General features: G+C 42.2%; 1 protein-coding gene and 1 pseudogene across 7 annotated transcripts in view; one reads left to right on the top strand and one right to left on the bottom strand.

Annotated features, from left to right (window-relative positions):
• Positions 1–21981, bottom strand: part of XIAP (X-linked inhibitor of apoptosis) — a 54265-nt gene that overhangs the window by 13603 nt on the left and 18681 nt on the right. For 5 of the 7 annotated variants that reach the window (NM_001378592.1, NM_001378591.1, NM_001204401.2 and 2 more), the window contains 4 exons: positions 13831–14739; positions 11652–11751; positions 9054–9132; positions 7597–7639 (listed from right to left, as the gene is read on the bottom strand). In NM_001378592.1, the coding sequence (NP_001365521.1) occupies positions 7597–7639; positions 9054–9132; positions 11652–11751; positions 13831–14707 (1099 nt within the window). In that variant the 5' untranslated portion in view covers positions 14708–14739. The remainder of the gene's footprint in view (positions 1–7596; positions 7640–9053; positions 9133–11651; positions 11752–13830; positions 14740–21981) is intronic. The other 2 variants (NR_165803.1, NR_037916.2) reach the window with 1 other exon arrangement.
• On the top strand, positions 21168–21920 carry PARD6BP1 (PARD6B pseudogene 1; annotated as a pseudogene).

Below are 21981 nucleotides of genomic sequence, written 5' to 3'. Positions count from 1 at the left end.
AACCAGCAAAGCAAAGCTGCTTTGGGAAGATTTTTTGAAGTATTCAGGCACTGAAAAATCACTTTCAGAATCTTACAATTAATTGTAAATGCAATGAGTATGTATTTTGTAGTGTTTGAAACGATGCAAGGTAAAATAGGCAAGAAAAAGGTTAAGTGCTTCAAAAATCTGAACTGTTTTGAATCTAGCTGTACTCATTAACAATTAACCTAAGTTACTTAAAGAGTGGATGTTGTTACTGAGTCACTAGCAATTATTTGGGGAAAATGATGGGAAATCAGGGAAGTCCCAGTCTATAACCTTGAATGTGTCAATTTCCTAGCTCTCAAACTTCGTTTCTGTAGCAGAGCGGGTAGGACTGAATAAAGCAAGAAAGTCAATGGAAACTTGTTTTTATGATACTTAAAGTAGGAACACAGCATGTGTAGGGAAGTGCTAGGAGAGGACACTTATACCCTCTGACTCATCAATTCCACTCTTGGGTATTAAAAATGAGTGTATATCTCTGCCAAAGATATGCACAAGAGTATTCATAGTAGTGTTATTTATAATAGCCCCAAACTGGAAACAACTCAAATGTCCATCATCAGGTGAACAGATACATAAATTGTGGTATATTCATACGCTACACAGCAAGAAAAAAAAAAAAAACTATTGCCACAGACAATATGGATGGATCTCATAGATATAATGAGCAAAACATAATCATAATTCATCATTATGACACAAAAGAGTACCTACTGCATGAGTCCATTTATAAGAACTTCAAAACTAATCTATGGTAATAAACAAAATTAATCTATGGTAATAGAAGCCAGAATATAACTTGGGGGTGGGTACTGATGGGGAAGGAGCATGAAAGAACTTTCTAGGGTTGTGGGAATGTTCTATATCTTAATCTGGGGGATAGTCACACAGATAAATATATATATTTTAACATATACATTTTAATATATATTTAACACATATTTAATATATATTTTAACATATATATGTTAAAATTCATCAAGTAGAAAACTTACGATTAGGGTACTTTAAGCACTTTATGTGTGTATGTGTGCGTGTGTATATATATACAAAATCATATATATATACAAAATCATATATATACAAAATCATATATATATACAAAATCATATATATATACAAAATCATATATATATACACAATCATATATATATAAAATCATATATATATAAAATCATATATATATATATATATATATTTTTTTTTTTTTTTTTTTTTTTTTTGAGACGTAGTCTCGCTCTGTCACCCAGGCCGGAGTGTAATGGCGCGTCTCGGCTCACTGCAACCTCCACCTCCCAGGTTCAAGCAATTCTCTTGCCTCAGCCTCTCGAGTAGCTGGGATTACAGGCATGCACCACCACGCCTGGCTAATTTTTTTGTATATTTAGTAGAGATGGGGTTTCACTATATTGGCCAGGCTGCTCTCGAACTCCTGACCTCGTGATCCACCTGCCTCAACTTCCCAAAGTGCTGGGATTACAGGCGTGAGCCACTGCGCCCGGCTACTGTATGTATATTATAGCTCAATAAATGTTTTTTGAAAGAGAGGAGGCTGGGTGCAGTGGCTCACACCTGTAATCCCAGCACTTTGGGGAGGCCAAGGGGGATTCCTTGAGGCCTGGAGTTTGAAACCACCCTGGTCAACAAAGTGTGACCCTATCTATATTAAAAAATAAAAATAAAAGATAAGGCTGGGCATGGTGGCCCACGTCTGTAGTCCCAGCATTTCGGGAGGCTAAGACGGGCAGATCGCTTGAGCCTAGGAGTTCAAAACCCCGTCTCTGCAAAAAATACCAAAAAATAAAAAAAAAAATTACCCGGGCATAGTGGTGGGCGCCTGTAGTCCCGGCTACTCAGGAGGCTGAGGCAGGAGAATGGCGTGACCCCCGGAGGTGGAGGTTGCGGTGAGCCGAGATCGCGCCACTGCACTCCAGCCTCGGTGACGGAGCGAGACTCCGTCTCAGAAAAACAAAAAAACAAAACAAACAAAAACAAACAAACAAAAAGAAAAACTCTGTTGGCAGGTTATAATACAGACAAAAGACCAGTTAGGAGACTACTACAATTGTCCAGTTGAAAAACAAGGAAGGGCCTGAACTAGAGCAGAATAAGTGGGAAAGTCTGAAGCAACATTAAAAAGGTGGAATCCATCAAATTTGATGATTAATTAAATGTAAAAGGATTACAGAGAGCAAAGAGCTTAGGAACAACATAAATTACTGGGCAACCTTGTGAACTGTGGTACTATTAACCAATACAGGAGAAAAAAGTGCAGGATTAGATTCAGTCTGAGTGGTTTTTAGAGATGCATTCTAGGTGGAAATGTCCAGAGGGCAACTAGACATTGCTCTTTCCTGCTTCTCCTATCTTTGACTTGTTTTTATTTTCAGTTTGTTTTGTTGCTCCATTACTTGTGCCCACCTAATTAGATGTTGGTGGCTCCCTTCCATTCCCTCATCGACCCTTCTGAAAAATGGTCTTTCCAGCTGGGCACAGTGGCTCACGCCTGTAATCCCACCACTTTGGGAGGCTGAGGTGGATCACCTGAGGTCAGGAGTTCAAGACCAGCCTGGCCAACATGGCGAAACCCTGTCTCTACTAAAAATACAAAAATTAGCCGGGCGCAGTGGCATGTGCCTGTAGTCCCAGCTACTGGGGAGGCTGATGCAGGAGAATCGCTTGAACCCGGGAGTCGGTGGTTGCAGTGAGCCAAGATCGCACTACTGCACTCCAGCCTGGGTGACAGAGCGAGGCTCCGTCTCCGGAAAAAAAAAAAAAGTCTTTCCAGACACTTTCCCTACCAGCAACATCTTACTCTCCTTTATACAAGGTTTTATTATCCTCCTACTTCAATGTCCTGCAGGTATCTCAAACTCAACTTGCTAAAAACAAAAAGGACGTGGACCCCTACCTGATACCATATACAAAAATTAACTCAAAATGGATCAAAGACCAGAATGTAAGATATAACACCATAAAACTCTTAGAAGAAAACATAGGTATAAACCTTGGTGACCCTGGATTAGGCAATGGTTTCTTAAATATGACATTAAAAGCATGAGCAACACACACAGAAAAATAGATAAATTGGATGTCATAAAAATTAAAGATGTTTCGCTGGGCACGGTGGCTCACGCCTGTAATCCCAGCACTTTGGGAGTCCGAGGCAGGCGGATCACCTGAGGTCAGGAGTTCGAGACGAGCCTCAACATGGAGAAACCCCGTCTCTACTAAAAATACAAAATTAGCCAGGCATGGTGGTGCACGCCTGTAATCCCAGCTACTGGGGAGGCAGAGGCAGGAGAATTGCTTGAACCTGGGAGGCGGAGGTTGTGGTGAGCTGAGATGGCACCATTGCACTCCAGCCTGGGCAACAAGAGCAAAACTCCGTCTCAAAAAAAAAAAAAAAAAAAAATTAAAGACGTTTATGCTTCGAAGAACACCAAGAAAGTGAAAAAGGTGGCCGGGTGCAGTGGCTCACGCCTGTAATTCCAGCACTTTGGGAGGCTGAGGTGGGCAGATCACGAGGTCAGGAGTTTGAGACAAGCCTGGCCAACATGGTGAAACCCCATCTCCACTAAAAATACAAAAAAAATTAGCCAGCCATGGTGGTGCACACCTGTAATCACAGCTACTCTGGAGGCTAAGGAAGGAGAATTGCTTGAGCCCGGGAGGCGGAGGTTGCAGTGAGCAGAGATCATGCCTCTGCAATCCAGACTGGGCAACAGAGCAAGACTCCGTCTTGGGAAAAAAAAAAAAAAAAGGAAACCCACAGAATGGGAGAAAATACTTGCAAATCATAAATCTGACAGGAACTTTTATATATAAATAACTATCATCTTCATTTAGAAAGTAAAAGAAGCCAAAAAAAAGAACTGTAATATATAAAGATCTCTTTTAACTCAATAACAAAAAGATAACCCATCCCCCTAGACTGTTCAGTAGAAAAAGGACAACCCAAATAAAAAATGGTCAAGGCTGGGCACAGTGGATCACACCTGTAATCCCAGCACTTTGGGAGGCCAAGGGAGGCAGATTGTTTGAGCCCAGGGGTTCGAGACCACCAGGGCAACAATGGCGAAACCTTCTCTCTATAAAAAATACAAAAATTAACTGGGTGTGGTGGCGCACACCCGTAGTCCCAGCTACCCGGAAGACTGAGGCAGCAGAATTGCTTGAGCCAGGGAGGTCGAGGCCACAGTGAGCATGACTGTACTATTGCACTCCAGCCCAGGTGACTGAGCAAGACCCTGTCTCAAAAAAAAGAAAAAATAAAAAATGGGTCGGGCATGGTGGCTCACACCTGTAATCCCAGCACTTTGGGAGCCCAACGTGGGTGGATCACCTGAGGTCAGGAGTTCAAGACCAGCCTGGCTAATATAGCGAAACCCCGTCCCTACTAAAAATACAAAAATTAGCCAGGTATGGTGGTGAGCACCTGTAATCCTAGCTACTAGGGAGGCTGAGTCAGGAGGATCGCTTGAACCCAGGAGGCGGAGGTTGCAATCAGCCAAGATCTTACCACTGCACTCCAGCCTAGGTGACAGAGCAAGACTCCGTCTCAAAAAAAAAAAAAAAAGTCAAAGGAGATGAACAGACGTTTCTACAAAGATTTACAAATGGCCAATAGGCACATGAAAAGATGCTCAATATCATTAATCATCAGGGAAATGCAAAACAAAACCACAATGAGATACCATGTCACATCCACTAGAATGGCTGTGATAAATAAGACAGATAATGAATGTAGAGAAAATGAAATCCTCATACACTTCTGGTAGGAATGTTAAAGGGTGCAGTCACTTTGGAAATCTGTCTGATAGTTTATCAAAAGGTTAAATATAGAATAACCACATGACCCAGCAATTCCATCCCTGGATATATGCCCAAGAGAACTGGGTATATAACATGTCTATACAAAAACTTATGCACAAATGTTCATAGAACCATCATTCATAATAGTCAAAAAGTAGAAACAAGCCAAATGTCAACTGACAAATGGATAAACAAAATGTGGTATTATTTATACAATGGACTCTTTTTCTACAATAGAAAAGAATGAAGTACTCATATATGCTACAACATGGATACACCTTGAGGACACATATTACATTATTCCATTTACATTAAATGTCCAGAATAGGCAAGTCCATAGAGACAGAAAGTAGATTACTGGTTGCCCTGGCCTAGGGGTAGGGTGGGCAATGGAGAATGACTGTTGATGGGTGAGCATGGAGTTTCTTGTTGGGGTAATGATAGTGTTCTGCAATTAAATAGTAGTAATGCCACTCACTGCGTAGTGGGTAGCCCTGCTCTGCAGGAGCAGTCATGGAGCTGAATTTATGTTTTATTTATTTATTTATTTATTTATTTATTTATTTATTTACTTATTTATGTTTGAGATAGAATCTCGGTCCATCACCCAGGCTGGAGTGCAGTAGCATGATCTCAGCTCACAGAAACCTCCGCCTTCCAGGTTCAAGAAATTTTTATGCCTCAGCCTCCCAAGTAGCTGGAACTATAGGTGTGTGCCACCACGCCCTGGTAATTTTTGTATTTTTCTTTTTTTTTTTGAGGTAGAGTTTTGCTCCTTTTTGCCCAGGGTGTAGTGCAATGGCGTGGTCTTGGCTCACTGCAACCTCTGCCTCCCAGGTTCAAGCAATTCTCCTGCCCCAGCCTCCCAAGTAGCTGGGATTACAGGCGTGCAGCACCACACTCAGCTAATTTTGTATTTTTAGTAGAGACGGAGTTTCACCATGTTGGCCGGGCTGGTCTGGAACTCTGGACCTCAGGTGATCCACCTGCCTTGGCCTCCCAAAGTGCTGGGATTATAGGCGTGAGCCACCACACCCAGCCGCTTGTAATTCTTAAGATACTAAATAGATGATGGTACCAGTTTAGGAAGTGGGGAATCACTAGACATATTCTAAATTAAACTTTCTACTACTTTTGAAATATGCCTAAGTTGAAAATGAGATCTGCCCTGTGATGTAGGATTCAGAAGACCTTGCTTGTGGTCCTAGTTCCACTAACTATTTGTAATGTGATTGTGCGCAAGTCACTTAACCTCTCTGACTCTTTCTTCATCTGAAAAGTGGGGATAACAATTACCTTCCTTGCTTAGCATAATATCTTTCTCTGCCCACTTTTTGAGTTTTAAAACCTCTACTTCTCCATGAGGTAACAGGAGGTAAACAAACCAAAACTTACACCTCTGTGAAGAAGCTGGGGAAGGTACAATGACAGTATGGGATAAAGAAGCAGGTGGGTTAGGGCTTATCAGGGTAATGGCACACTAGTAGAAAACTGAAATAATTTTGGCTTACTTAAGGAACCCCAGGTACAAAAAGACACTTCACCCTTTCTCTTGTGATTTTAGCAGAGATGGCAATGAGGCAACCTATCAGTGTTCCTCCTGAACTTGGAAAAACTATCTGATGGCCTACTAACATTTTTAATACAGACACGTCTGACTGATTTTTTTTTCTTTTATTTTCTTTTTGAGATGGAGTCTTGCCCTGTTGCCCAGGCTAGAGTGCACTGGCACGATCTCAGCTGGCTGCAATCTCCACTGCCCAGGTTCAAGCGATTCTCCCGCCTCGGCCTCCCGAGTAGCTGGAATTACAGGCGCACACCATCACGCCCGGCTAATTTTTGGATTTTTAGTAGAGATGGGGTTTCGCCATGTTGGCTAGGATGGTCTTGAGCTCCTCGGCCTCCCAAAGTGCTGGGATTACAGGTGTCAGCCACTGCACCCAGCCTCTGACTGCAATTTATAAGTACTTCATTAAATTATTTTTTTCATTTTTGTTTTTTGAGACGGAATCTCGCTCTGTCGCCAGGCTTGAGTGCAATGGCATGATCTCGGCTCACTGCAACCTCCACCTCCTGGGTTCAGGCCAGGCAATTCTCCTGCCTCAGCCTCCCAAGTACGTGGGACTACAGGTGTGCGCCACCACATCCAGCTAATTTTTTTTTTGTATTTTTAGTAGAGACGGGGTTTCACCATGTTAGCCAGGATGGTCTCGATCTCCTGACCTCGTGATTGGCCTGCCTCGGTCTCCCAAAGGGCTGGGATTACAGGCGTGAGCTACCACGCCCGGCCGCCTAAATTCTTAAATTTATAGTAATGTCATCTGAAATAAATATATCATGGTGACCTTGGAAGAACATGCTTATCTTTCCACCCCATAAATAACAACTATAATAAATTGGCAGTTAAAGGCCGGGTGCGGTGGCTCATGCCTGTAATCCCAGCACTTTGGAAGGCCGAGGCGGGCGCATCACAAGATCAGGAGTTTGAGACCAGCCTGGCCAATATGGTAAAACTCCGTCTCTACTAAAAATATAAAAAGTTAGCCGGGCATGGTGGCGCAGGCCTGTAGTCCCAGCTACTCGGGAGGTTGAGGCAGGAGAATCGGTTGAACCCGGGAGGCAGAGATTGCAGTGAGCTGAGATCGCACCACTGCACTCCAGCCTGGGCAACAGAGTGAGACTCTGTCTCTAAATAAATAAATAAATAAATAAATTGGCAGTTAAATTAAAAGGATAGTTAACAAGCATATTTACCAATTCTTCTAGTTAGTGATGGTGTTTTCTCAGTAGTTCTTACCTGTAACAGAAATAGGAACTGTAAGTTAGAATTATTTTTGGTAGAGGCAATCATTTCCATTTGAAAAGTGAAATTAATCATAAATTTAAAATAAATTGGCTTTATTCCAATTCAATATATGAATATTCACAAGAGGCATAGCCTGATGGAGCTAGAAGGAAGTCATAAGATTATCTAATCTAATCCCTTCATTTTACAAACAAAAAGCTGAGGCCCAGGGAGAATGAATGACTTCAAGGTAGAGTCACTGGGGGCAACTCTAGTCTCCCATTTTAGTCCAGGGTTCTTTCCACCTATTACTGATGCCTTGGCCACCTCAATTCATCCTATCAATTTATTTATTTATTTAATTTATTTATTTTTGAGATGGAGTGTCACACTTGTTGCCCAGGCTGGAGTGTAGTGGCGTGATCTCAGCTCACTGCAACCTCCACCTCCCAGGTTCAAGCAATTCTCCTGCCTCAGTCTCCCCAGTAGCTGAGATTACAGGCGCCCGCCATTACGCCTAGCTAAATTTTTGTATTTTTAGTAGAGACGGGGTTTCATCATGTTGGCCAAGCTGGTCTCGAACTCCTGACCTTGGGTGATCCATCTGCCTCGGCCTCCCAAAGTGCTGGGATTACAGGCGTGAGCCACCGTGCCCAGCGCCCATCCTATCAATTTAGATATATTTGAGATTTTAAATATTGTCTGCAAAAACTTAAAACTACTTATGAGTACAAAGCACATTATACAAAGATCTAATTTCAGAAGGCTAAGGGACTTTTAATATTTTAGTTCTTCAAGCCCATTTTTGCCTACAATGATACTTAAATCAGTTCATCCTGATTATCTTTTGACAAATTTACTTCAGGTAAAGAATAAGAAACACTTTTTAGGCTCTCTCTTTTTTTTTTTTTTTTTTTTTAAGAGATAGGGTTTCCCTTTCTCACTCAGGCTGGAGTACAGTGGAATGAACCTGGCTCACTGAATCCTCTGACCTTCTGGGCTCAAGCGATCCTCCCGCCTCAGCCGCCCAAGTAGCTGGGACTACAGGCATGTACCACAAGTCTGGCTAATTGGTTTTTAAAATTTTTTGTAGAGACAGGGTCTCACTATGTTGCCTAGGCTGATCTCAAACTCCTGGGCTCAAGCAATCCTCTCACCTTGGCCTCTCAAAATGTTGGAATTACAGGTGTGAAACACTGCCCAGCTAGCTCTCATCTTTAAAGCCCATCATACATTTATTATTTTGTTTTTAACTTAAAATTTGTGTTTTGATGTAATGTACACATATATTGATTTATAATACTATACTGTGAATATCACATGAAGAAATAACTATAAAACAAATGATATAATATAAACTACATAATGAAAATATAAATTATAATTTGAAATGTGAATTTGAAAATATAAATTATATGAGACTTACCAGACACTCCTCAAGTGAATGAGTTAAATGAATATTGTTTATATATTCTTGTCCCTTCTGTTCTAACAGATATTTGCACCTAAACAATTAAAAGATTAAACTTTAGTAGCTGATAAATTAGTGAAGTATAAGCAAAGATATAATCTCCATCATATTAATTCTATTAATTCCATTAACTTGCTTTTCAGTACTTCTAAGGAGCCACAAAGTAAAATGTTACCCAATTCCCTATCCCACTGTCATTTTAAGGTTAAAAAAGTTCCCTCTGTTATGCTACCTATGCTAATATTAGTAGAGCAAAAAATATCAACTTGAGAACTTTCTAAAACAAGTTATTAAATTAGCACCTTGACTTTTGTTATTTTTTTTTTTTTTTGAGACAGAGTCTCGCTCTGTCACCCAGGCTGGAGTGCAGTGGCACGATCTTGGCTTACTGCAACATTAGCCTTCCGGGTTCAAGCGATTCTCCTGCCTTAGCCTCCTGAGTAGCTGGGATTACAGGCATGCACCACTACGCCCGGCTAATTTTGTATTTTTAGTAGAGACAGGGTTTCACCATGTTGGTCAGGCTGGTCTCAAACTCCTCACCTGAAGTGATCTCCCTGCCTCAGCCTCCCGAAGTGCTGGGATTACAGGCGTAAGCCACCATGCCCGGCTAGTTTTTTTTTTTTTTTTTTGAGACAGTGTCTCACTCTGTCGCCCAGGCTGGAGTGCAGTGGCGCCGAGTGCAGTGGCATCAGCTCACCACAACCTCTGCCTCCCCAGCTCAAGTGATCCTCTTACCTCAGCCTCATGAGTAACTGGAACTACAGGTGTGTGCCATCATGACTGGCTAATTTTTTTTTTTGTATTTTTTGTAGAGACAGGGTCTTACTATGTTGCCCAGGCTGGTCTCAAACTCTTGGGCTCCAGCAATCCACCCGCCTCAGCCTCCCAAAGTGCTGAGATTACAGGCACGAGCCACCACACTCCAACCAGAGATCTTAAAATGTGAACAACTGGGCCGGGCGCGGTGGCTCACGCCTGTAATCCCAGCACTTTGGGAGGCCGAGGCGGGCGGATCACGAGGTCAGGAGATCGAGACCATCCTGGCTAACACGGTGAAACCCCGTCTCTAGTAAAAATACAAAAAATTAGCCGGGCGTGGTAGCGGGCGCCTGTAGTCCCAGCTACTCGGGAGGCTGAGGCAGGAGAATGGCGTGAACCCGGGAGGCGGAGCTTGCAGTGAGCCGAGATCGCACCACTGCACTCCAGCCTGGGCGACAGAGCGAGACTCCGTCTCAAAAAAAAAAAAAAAAAAAAAAAAAAAAAAAAAAAAATGTGAACAACTGTATGTCATAGAGATAATGAGATACATTAATATTTCCTAGGGGTATGATGGCTTCTTAAGGAATCTCCTTGGCAATATGGGCTCTCACGCTGATCATAAAAGAGCCTACTTCCAACAACAAAAAAGCACACATTTCCTAATCTGTATTTAAAAATTGGATAATCTAGAGGCCAAGCAAGGTGGAGCATGCTTGTAATCCCAGCACTTTGGGAGGCTGATGTGGGTGGATCACCTGAGGTTGGGAGTTCGAGACCAGCCTGACCAACATGGTCAAACCCTGTCTCTACTAAAAATATAAAAAATTAGCTGGGCGTGGTGGCAGGCACCTGTAATCCCAGCTACTCAGGAGGCTGAGGCAGGAGAATCACTTGAACCCAGGAGGCGGAGATTGCAGTGAACTGAGATAGCACCATTGCACTCCAGCATGGGCGACAAGAGCAAAACTCTATCTCAAAAAAAAAAAGAAATGGGATAATCTAGAGGCCAGGCGCAGTGGCTCACACCTGTAATGCCAACACTTTGGGAGGCCGAGGCGGGCCGATCACCTGAGGTCAGGAGTTCAAGACCAACCTGGCCAACATGGTGATACCCTGTCTCTACTAAAAAATACAAAAATTAGCCAGAATCCCAGCACTTTGGGAGGCCGAGGCGGGCGGATCACAAGGTCAGGAGATCAAGACCATCCTGGCCAACATGGTGAAACCCTGCCTCTACTAAAAATACAAAAAATTAGCTGGGCGTGGTGGCACTTGCCTGTTGTCCCAGCTACTCGGGAGGCTGAGGCAGGAGAATCGCTTGAACCTGGGAGGCGGAGGTTGCAGTGAGCCAAGATCGCACCACTGCACTCCAGCCTGGCAACAGAGTGAGACTCCATATCAAAAAAAAAAAAAAAAAATTAGCCAGGCATGGTGGCAGTGGCGGGTGCCTGTAATCCCAGCTACTCAGGAGACTGAGGCACAAGAATCACTTGAACCTGGGAGGCAGAGGTTGCAGTGAGCCAAGATTGCACCACTGCACTCCAGCCTGCAAAAGAGAGTGAGACTTCGTCTCAAAAAAAAAAAGGGATAATCTGAATGTTATAGATATCACACATAAGCAGTGAATGTTTTTGGTCATCAGAGAAGGCTTATAAACCTTGCTCATTTTTATAAACCTAGCATGAATTTCAAGCCATAGTGAAGGCAAAAATAGTTGAGGTAAAAAGTAATTCAAGTCTCCCACTGCATGCTATCCAACTTGCCTGTACAATGAACAATTAAATATCTTACCCTGGATACCATTTAGCATGTTGTTCCCAAGGGTCTTCACTGGGCTTCCAATCAGTTAGCCCTCCTCCACAGTGAAAGCACTTTACTTTATCACCTTCACCTACGAAAACACACAGGAATATATGTATTTGTGCAATTAGAAGCTTACACAAAAATATTCATTTAACACCTAAAAATTAAGCACATCTAAAAAACATGAAAATCTCACAGCTTAAAACAAGACATTCAAATTCACATCTAAGTAACAGATATGATTTTTATCCTTTGAGGAAGAAATACACACTAAATTCACTGATTCAATGTGAGGTATTTTTATAGAAGACAAAAATAAAACTGCCCAAGTTTTATGTTAAAAACTAAAATTGTTACTTTCTTTCTTTTTTTGAGACTGAGTCTGGCTCTGTTCCCCAGACCGGAGTGCAATGGCGCAGTCTTGGTTCACTGCAACCTTTGCCTCCTGAGTTCAAGCGATTCTCCTGCCTCAGCCTCTCAAGTAGCTGGGATTACAGGCATGCGCCACCACACCCGGCTAATTTTTTATATCTTTGGTAGAGATGGGGTTTCACCATGTTGGCCAGCCTGATCTTGAACTCCTGACCTCAAGTGATCCACCCGCCTCGGCCTTCCAAAGTGTTGGGATTACAGGCGTAAGCCACTGTACCTGGCATACTTTATTTTCATTTATTTATTTATTTATTTATTTATTTATTTATTAATTATTATTATTTTTTTCTGAGATGGAGTTTTACTCTTGTTGCCCAGGCTGGAGTGCAATGGCGCGATCACGGCTCACTGCAACCTCTGCCTTCTGGGTTCAAGTGATTCTCCTGCCTCAGTCTCCCAAGTAGCTGGGACTACAGGCGCATGCCATCACGCCCAGCTAATTTTTGTATTTTTAGTAGAGACGGGGTTTCACCATGTTGGCCAGGCTGGTCTTGAACTCCTGACTTCAGGTGATCCACCCACCTCAGCCTCCCAAAGTGCTGGGATTATAGGCGGGAGCCACCGCGCCCGGCCATACTTTCTTTTTAGTATGTTATTTGGGCCACCAATATTGTCCTTACTGTTTCAAACTGTGAAATTTTAAAACAAGTTATGTTTCAAGTATTAGTAACATTAAAGTTCTACATAATGAAATTGTAAGTTTCTCTAAGTTTATAGCTACATGACACTAAACAAACCTTCAAGATTACTATATGATGGTACATAAATAAAATCTTTCGAAATAACCAATATTTTATAGGCATTATTCAATCTTAAAATAAATGGGTCAAATATATAATGGTATAACTTTTTAAAATATCTTTAGAAGCAATCACTCCAATGGCCCTTCCTGAAATGTCTACCACAGTCCATTTGAAAGTACTCATATGGCCGGCGCAGTGGCTCATGCCTGTAATCCCAGCACTTTGGGAGGCCAAGGCGGGCGGATCACAAGGTCAGGAGTTCGAGACCAGCCTGGCCATGGTGAAACCCTGTCTCTACTAAAAGTACAAAAATTAGCCAGGCATGGTGCATGCACCTGTAATCCCAGCACTTTGGGAGGCCGAGGCGGGTGGATCACCTGAGGTCAGGAGTTTGAGACCAGCCTGACCAACAGGGAGAGACCCTGTGTCTACTAAAAATACAAAATTAGCCGGGCGTGGTGGCACATGCCTGTAATCCCAGCTACTCAGGAGGCTGAGGCAGGAGAATCGCTTGAACCCGGGAGGTGGAGGTTGTGGTGAGCCTAAATCACGCCATTGCACTCCAGCCTGGATAACAAGAGCGAAACTCTGTCTCAAAAACAAACAAACAAAGCTATTGTGAAGCTTAGAGAAAATGCATGAAGTATATGTATTGAGCACTTATAGTAAGTGCTCAATAAATGATGGTTAATATTACTATTAGACCCATTTTGCTATTGGGGATGTCTACCATCTTTTGCAAGTTATCTACTTCCTAAAAACAATTACATGAAGAGAAGCATGACTCATAATATGGTAGTCTTTTTCACATAAATTCAGTAGTTACATTACAGGTTCAACATAAGAGTTCACGGAATAATACAGATATATATATAATCATGCCAAGTTATACCTAAATATTTACCAGTTCAGGGGGCTAAGGGCATCTATTTACTTTTTATGAGCCCTGGCATACTTGGGAAGCTATTTATTGGTTTTATAATAAAGTTTACCTAAAGCATAAAATCCAGCTCTTGCAAGCTGCTCCTTGTTAACTGAGTATATCCATGTCCCAAAAGTAAAGATCCGTGCTTCATAATCTGCCATGGATGGATTTCTTGGAAGATTTGTTGAATTTGGGAAATTCCTATCAGAACTCACAGCATCAGATTCACTTCGAATATTAAGATTCCGGCCCAAAACAAAGAAGCAATTAGGAAAGTGTCGCCTGTGTTCTGACCAGGCACGATCACAAGGTTCCCAATTTTTCAGTTTTCCACCACAACAAAAGCACTGCACTTGGTCACCAATACCTGTGTAGTAGAGTCCAGCACTTGCTAACTCTCTTGGGGTTAGGTGAGCATAGTCTGGCCAGTTCTGAAAGGACTTTAATCTAGCTTCTTCACTATACATGGCAGGGTTCCTCGGGTATATGGTGTCTGATATATCTACAACCTGCCCAGTTCTCAAAAGATAGTCTGCATGTGTCTCAGATGGCCTGTCTAAGGCAAAATGATCTCTGCTTCCCAGATAGTTTTCAACTTTGTACTGACCATTCTGGATACCAGAATTTGTAGACTGCGTGGCACTATTTTCAAGATAAAAGCCGTTGATAAATCTGCAATTTGGGGATACTTTCCTGTGTCTTCCAACTGCTGAGTCTCCATATTGCCATCTATCTACAGCTGCATGACAACTAAAGCACCGCACGGTATCTCCTTCACCAGTATAAAGAAACCCTGCTCGTGCCAGTGTTGATGCTGAAACAGGACTACCACTTGGAAAATTAGCAAAAGTTTTTAATCTATTAAACTCTTCTACAAATTCTTCTTCCTTATTGATGTCTGCAGGTACACAAGTTTTAGATCCTTCAAAACTGTTAAAAGTCATCTTCTCTTGAAAATAGGACTTGTCCACCTTTTCTAAAAAGAGAACATTATATTAGGAAATCCAAAATGTGAAACACAAGCAACAGACTTTTGTTATAGGAGCTAACAAATTATCCACTTATGACATAAAAATAACTACACGACCGCTAAGAAACATTCTAATTCTAAATACTAGAGTTCGACATTACCACATCATTCAAGTCATAAAGTAAAATCTAGCATTTTTGTTTTCTCTTTTTGAGGAAAGTAATATTTAAGCAGGCAGAATAAAACTAATAATTTTTAAATGCTTATTTTACATAAATATGTAAACTGTGATGCAGAATATATTATAATTATTAACCATGTCAAATCATTAATTAGGAAAAACATGAAAGCATAAAATATGCAGATTATTAAAATCTATGCATAATTGTTATAATGAATCATTATATATTCAAGGCATCAAAGTTGTTTTTACAAGTTAAAAAATGTTCAGAATGTTAATGAATTAATTTTTAATATCTCTTTGCTTAGCAAAATATGTTTTAATCATAATATTGGTTCCAATGTGTTCTTTAAGAGTATGAAATATTTCTGATTTTCATGCATGAATGAGAGCCCTTTTTTTGTTGTAACTGGATAATTACAGATATATATGTAACACTGCCCTCTAGAGGGTGGCTCAGGAAAAATTCTAAGTACCTGCAAACCTTAATTGCTGTTACTTTTTTTTTTTTGCCCATGACATACATGTGCCCTGCAGTTACTTTTGCTATTAACTTCCCTTGGTCAAGTAACAATCTGTTCAAATGGAAGATAAGTATTGCTGCAGTCTTATTAGAGCTGCCAAATTACAGCTGGTAATTTTAACCCAGATAAAATACTAAAAGGAACCCGTTAGGTTATGAGAAGGGTATCAATTATTAGAAAGATAATTTATCCTCCAAACCTGGACACTTCTCAAAGTGAAAAATTACACTAGTAATAATCACACTGGGACAACAGGCATAAATCAGGGTTGCCCCAGGCAAACTAGAGTATATGGTAACCCTAGTTATGAGGCAAACCTGGTTCTCCAGAATCTCCCACATTGCCTGATAACATGCTCAATATAAACTTGTCAAAGGCAAAATAAGAGAATGGTAACAATGACTCTGTCTCTATATTATGCGTGCATTAATTGATTTTTTTTTTTTTTGAGATGGAGTTTTGCTCTTGCTGCCCAGGCTGGAGTGCAATGGTGTGATACTGGTTCATGCGACCTCCGCCTCCCAGGTTCAAGCAATTATCCTGCCTCAGCCTCTCAAGTAGCTGGGATTACAGGCATGCGCCACCATGCCCGGCTAATTTTGTATTTTTTAGTAGAGACGGGGTTTCTCCAGGTTGGTCAGGCTGGTCTTGAACTCCTGACCTCAGGTGATCTGCCCGCCTCGGCCTTCCAAAATGCTGGGATTACAGGCGTGAGCCACCGCGCCCTGCCATTAATTGATTTCTTGAGAAGAATTAGCCAGCTCTTTTGCCTTTATGTTGACACAATATGCCTTAAAATTTAATCTCTTTTGGAGTAATGTTCAACACAAAGCAAGCTGGCAATGGACTTCAGTCTTTCCTGGCCATGTCAATTTATAGTGGTATTAACTCATATACCTCAACAGCTGAGTTATATCTGCATAAAACTTTTGGAATATAGTCTCCATGACTTTTGATGAATTATCATTTCCTATATGTCTGAAAACATTCCAACATTAGCTTCAAGGCCCTTTGTTGAATCAGCACAATAAACTGGATGACAAAAATCAAGATTCAAAGAAACCAAGGCTGATCAAACTCCTTGTTCTACTCTTTCCCCCCTTCTCACTCTGCACTTGACTAGTCTTAAAAAAAACAGCCGGGCATGGTGGTTCACACCTGTAATCCCAGCACTTTGGGAGGCCGAGGTGGGCAAATCACCTGAGGTCGGGAGTTTGAGACCGGCCTGACCAACAGGGAGAAACCCTGTCTCTACTAAAAACACAAAATTAGCTGGGCGTGGTGGAGCATGCCTGTAATCCCAGCTACTTGGGAGACTGAGGCAGGAGAATCGCTTGAACCCGGGAGGCAGAGGTTGCAGTGAGCTGAGATCGCGCCACTGCACTCCAGCCTGGGCAACAAGAGTGAAACTCTGTCTCAAAAAAAAAAAAAAAAAGAAAAGAAAAGAAAAGAAAAAAACCAAGGCTACCTGATAGGCTAATGAGATAAAATTTAATAGGGATAAGTATAAAGTCTTACATCTGGTTTTTAAAAAATATCTGGTGCATAGGCCGGACACGGTGACTCATGCCTGTAATCTCAGCACTTTGGGAGGCCAAGGTGGCCGGATAACTTGAGGTCAGGAGTTCGAGACCAGCCTGACCAACATGGTGAAACCCCCACCTCTACTAAAAATACAAAAATTAGCCAGGCGTGGTGGCAGGTACCTGTAATCCCAGCTACTCGGAAGGCTGAAACAGAAGAATGCCTTGAACCCGGGGAGCGGAGGTTGCAGTGAGCCAAGATCATGCCACTGCACTCCATCCTGGGCGACAGAGCGAGGCTCCATCTCAAAAAAGGCCGGGCGTGATGGCTCACGCCTGTAATCCCAGCACTCTGGGAGGCTGAGGAGGGTGGGTCACCTGAGGTCAGGAGTTCGAGACCAGCCTGACCAAAATGGAGAAACCCCGTCTCTACTAAAAAAAAATAAAAAAGAAAGAAAGAAAATTAGCCAGGCATGATGGCGGATGCCTGTAATCCCAGCTACTTGGGAGGCTGAGGCAGGAGAATTGCTTGAACCCAGGAAGTGGAGGTTGCAGTGAGCTGAGATCGTGCCACTGCACCCCAGCCTGGGCGACAGAGCGAGCGTCTCAAAAAACAAACAAAAAAAATCTGTTGCATAACTAAAAGAAGATTGAGACTTAGTTTAAGAAGAAATCACTTAAAGGCAATCCTCCAGATTAAAACCTTGGGATTTTATTTAATTACAAATTCATCATAAGCCAACATTACAAGTCGACTAAAAAACTTACAGCAACTTCAGACTGCATTAGTGTCCAGATGTGCAACATCCAGATCCAATTCAGCTACCAAGGGATATTATTTCCAGTTCCAAATACATTTTGGAAGGGACATTAACAAAGTTTAACATCCTTAGGGAGCAATCGGGATGATAAAAATGATACCATATGAGAAATAGTTGGAATAGCGAAGGATATTTATCTCAAAGGGTGGAAAAACTGTGAGGGGAAGGGTAGAGAGGATAGACTAACTACCTTAAGATATCTAAAAGATTATCATGTAGAAAACAGATCCAAATTTTATATAGCTTGAGGGCAGAATTAAGGTCATTAAATACAACTGTAAATAGTAGATTTTAACCCAAGGATGGGCTTTATAACAATCGATGGTAGCACCAAATGGATTGGGTTGCCTTGTAGATTATGAGTTCCTCCTATCACTTAAAGGAACTTCAGCATGGACTGGGAGACTGGGTTAAACCTTTCCAAGTCTATAATTATCCTGAAGAATTAATGCTCAGTATAATTCAAAACACATGAGAATTGCCTTCCCTGAGGTGTTAAATTTTATTTCAAGTCAATCAAAATAGATGTAAGTGGCCAGGCACAGTGGCTCACGCCTGTAATCCCAACACTTTGGGAGGCTGAGGTGGGTGGATCACTTGAGGTCAGGAGTTCAAGACCAGCCTGGCCAACATGGTGAAACCCCATCTCTACCAAAAACTACAAAAATTAGCCGGGTGTGGTGGCACATGCCTATAATCCCAGCTACTTGGGAGGCCAAGGGACGAGAATCACCTGAACCTGGGAGGTGGAGGGTGCAATGAGCCAAGACTGCCACTGCACTCCAGCCTGGGTGATAGAGTGAGACTCTGTCTCAAAAAAAAAAAAAAAAATAGAAGTATAAAATCAAAGATATTCTCATTTCACAATTTTGTGTAGTTCAAGTAGTCACCCTATTTCAGAAAATATTAGATAAAACCATCATTCAACATGAGCAGGAGAATCTCAATTTGAAGCTTTTGAGTGGAGATCTTATCTTCCCAGAGGTTGTTTCCATGCTAATAGTTCAGATTTCACTGTTTTGAAAAGTAAATATTTATTTAGAAGCACTCAAGTGAACAATATATACACATTAGCAGAGTGTGAGCTTTTTGAGAAGGAGGAAAACCAGAATTACCAGAGTTTAAGAGTGAAAGGTGGAAGGATGACTGATGAAAGACAGAAACCTTGGGTTTGGAGGAAGGCACCAAACAAAAAGGGTAAGATAGGGTAAAAAAATATAGGATCTAAGTGAAATGGAGGTGGGGAAAATGATACCACAGAAAACAAGTATATATGGAGCAGATGAATTGAGAATATAGAAGAAAATAGGGTATGAATATTAGACAAGGGTGACAAAAAGGTTTTTGAAGTGAAAAGGTGTGGGTGCAATAAAGTATGCTGGGATAATTTAAGGCTTCTCTGTGAAAGCATCTTCAGGCTTTGTACTGGGTAAGTGGAAAGGCAGGAAGGCACGGAAAGAGAAAAATGTCAAAGAAAGCTTTTGGTATAAAGGGGCTGGGAAGTCAGGAATCTTAAGGGTAACAGTAGTTGGGAAAATAGCACTATGGAAGCAAAAAATGGGACAAAAAGGACCAGCAAGCAATGGTGCATGTTTAAATGAAGGGTTTGGGAGATTCTACAATGGTGATATGTAAGGTTTTACAGTATACATGTATGTACATACATTTAGTCCAGTCAACTGCGTAAAGAGAGCCACCAGGAGGTGCCAAGGAGAGGAGGTTGACAGCTAATCTAGCGAGAATGTGGGAATGTGGAGGTGGGGGATACAGAGACAAAGGCACATACAAAACCCTGGTGTCTGTATACGACACAAAAGTTTCTATTTCTCCCTTTTTTTTTTTTTTTTTTTGAAACAGAGTTTTGCTCTTATGGCCCAGGCTGGAGTGAAATGGCGTGATCTCAACTCACTGCAACCTCCGCCTCCCAGGTCCAAGCCATTCTCCTGTCTCAGCCTCCCAAGTAGCTGGGATTACAGGCGCCCGCCACCACGCCTGGCTAATTTTTTTATTTTTAGAAGAGATGGGGTTTCAACATGTTGGCCAGGCTGGAATTGAACTGCTGATCTCAGGTGATCCACCTGCCTCGAACTCCCAAAGTGCTGGGATAACAGGTGTGAACCACTGTGCCAGGCTGCTTTTTTTTTTTTTATTAGGGTTTTCTTTCTTTTTTTTTTTTGAGACAGAGTTTCACTCTTGTTGCCCAGGCTGGAGTGCAATGGCACGACCTCGGTTCACCACAACCTCCGCCTCTTGAGCTCAAGTGATTCTCCCACCTCAGCCTCCTGAGTGGCTGGGATTACAGGCACCCACCACCACACCCGGCAATTTTGTATTTTTAGTAGAGACAGGGTTCCTCTATGTTGGCCAGGCTGGTCTTGAACTCCTGACCTCAGGTGATCCGCCCGCCTCGGCCTCCCAAAGTGCTGGGATTATAGGCATGAGCCACCGCGCCCAGCCTTAAGGTTTTCTTTTTTGAGACGGAGTCTTGCTCTGTCGCCCAGGCTGGAGTGCAGTGGCGCAATCTCGGCTCACTGCAACCTCCGCCTCCCGGGTTCAAGGGAGTCTCCTGTCTCAGCCTCCCAAGTAGCTGGGACTACAGGCACGTGCCACCACACCCAGCTAATTTTTTGTATTTTTAGTAAAGACGGGGTTTCACTGTGTTAGCCAGGATGGTCTCGATCTCCTGACCTCGTGATCCGCCCGCCTCGGCCTCCCAAAGTGCTGGGATTACAGGCGTGAGCCACTGAGCCCAGCCAAGGTTTTCAAATACGTAGAATAAAGGTTATTTTAATGGGGAAAAGGATATAAGGTAGAATGCACGCCAGATTACCACTGTATGAAAATGTATACTTATAGACAAGACTCGGAAAGTAATATTAAATAAATCGAGAAAATGTTAAGGTGACGGGATTATAGGTGATCTTTTTCTCCAGAATGTCTTTAATAATATTGTCACTTAAAACCTCTCTTTCTGGCCAGGCGCGGTGGCTCACGCCTGTAATCCTAGCACTTTGGGAGGCCAAGGCAGGCGGATCACGAGGTCAGGAGATAGAGATCATCCTAGCTAACACGGTGAAACCCCGTCTCTACTGAACATTCAAAAAATTAGCTGGGATGGTGGCGGGCGCCTGTAGTCCCAGCTACTCGGGAGGCTGAGGCAGGGGAATGGCGTGAACCTAGGAGGTGGAGCTTGCAGTGAGCCGAGATTGTGCCACCACACTCCAGCCTGGGTGACAGAGTGACTCCATCTCAAAAAAAAAAAAAAAAAAAAACTCTTTCTGTGGTTTTGTCAACCACAGAAAAAGGCTATATCCAGTCACTGCTATGCCCTAAGACTTCAGACCCGTGTCTTCAATCATAGATGTGGATGTTCTCCCAGGAACTAAGCATCCCCTAGGACTCTATATCCAGGATGGTTCTAGCCTAAGGGAGACACCACATGGCTTAGAGAGCATCCCAGGGATCTTTTATATCCTGGCTTGTTCCAGGCCTGGCTCACAGCACAGAACTATGAACTGTTAATGATGAAGTTTTTAGAAGTTGATGGTACATAAGTTTCAGGGAAGCATCTCAATCAAGTAAACAGACATGATGAGTGCAAACAGCAGCCACCTCATCCTAACAGTGAGACCAGCAACCAGGAGAATAATGTTACTGGGAACAGTCAGACTTCTGGTAGCTCCAGCCAATCTGCTGATAATAGCCTTCTTGCCTAACCACAGCAGATTGAACCAAACTTTGAGCCAAAGGATGAAGACAGTGGGGAAGGTGACAATATTATTTAAGATAATGGTGTGCCACAGAAGACTGCTAAAGCCATTCCTACCATCAAAAGCCTGGAATCGTTAACATAAACAGAACAAACTCATTCTTGAGTCTCGATAGAATGATTTTACTTCTTCTAATTAAGTGAATTTAGCAGTAGTACAAACATAGAATTTGAAACATATGCTCCAGATCAAAAACTCTTAGAAGATGGAACTATCATAACATTATGAAACCATCATTTGAATGTTTTCTGAATGAGGATGTCATAGGACTTGTAAATTTGGGTAGTTTAAGAGCTTTTAAACCTCTGAGCCAACGACCCAGAATAAGCATGAGAACAATAATATTACAAGTTTGAAATGTTATTAAAATAAATAGAAACAGAAAGTAGATTAGTGGTTGCCTAGGGCTGGGGAGGGGGAAATAGGAAG

Source organism: Homo sapiens, chromosome X (assembly GCF_000001405.40).
Source record: "Homo sapiens chromosome X, GRCh38.p14 Primary Assembly".
Classification (NCBI taxonomy): Eukaryota; Metazoa; Chordata; class Mammalia; order Primates; family Hominidae; genus Homo; species Homo sapiens.
The sequence above is the reverse complement of the archived record's forward strand: the minus strand, read 5'-3'. Positions and strand labels throughout refer to the sequence as shown.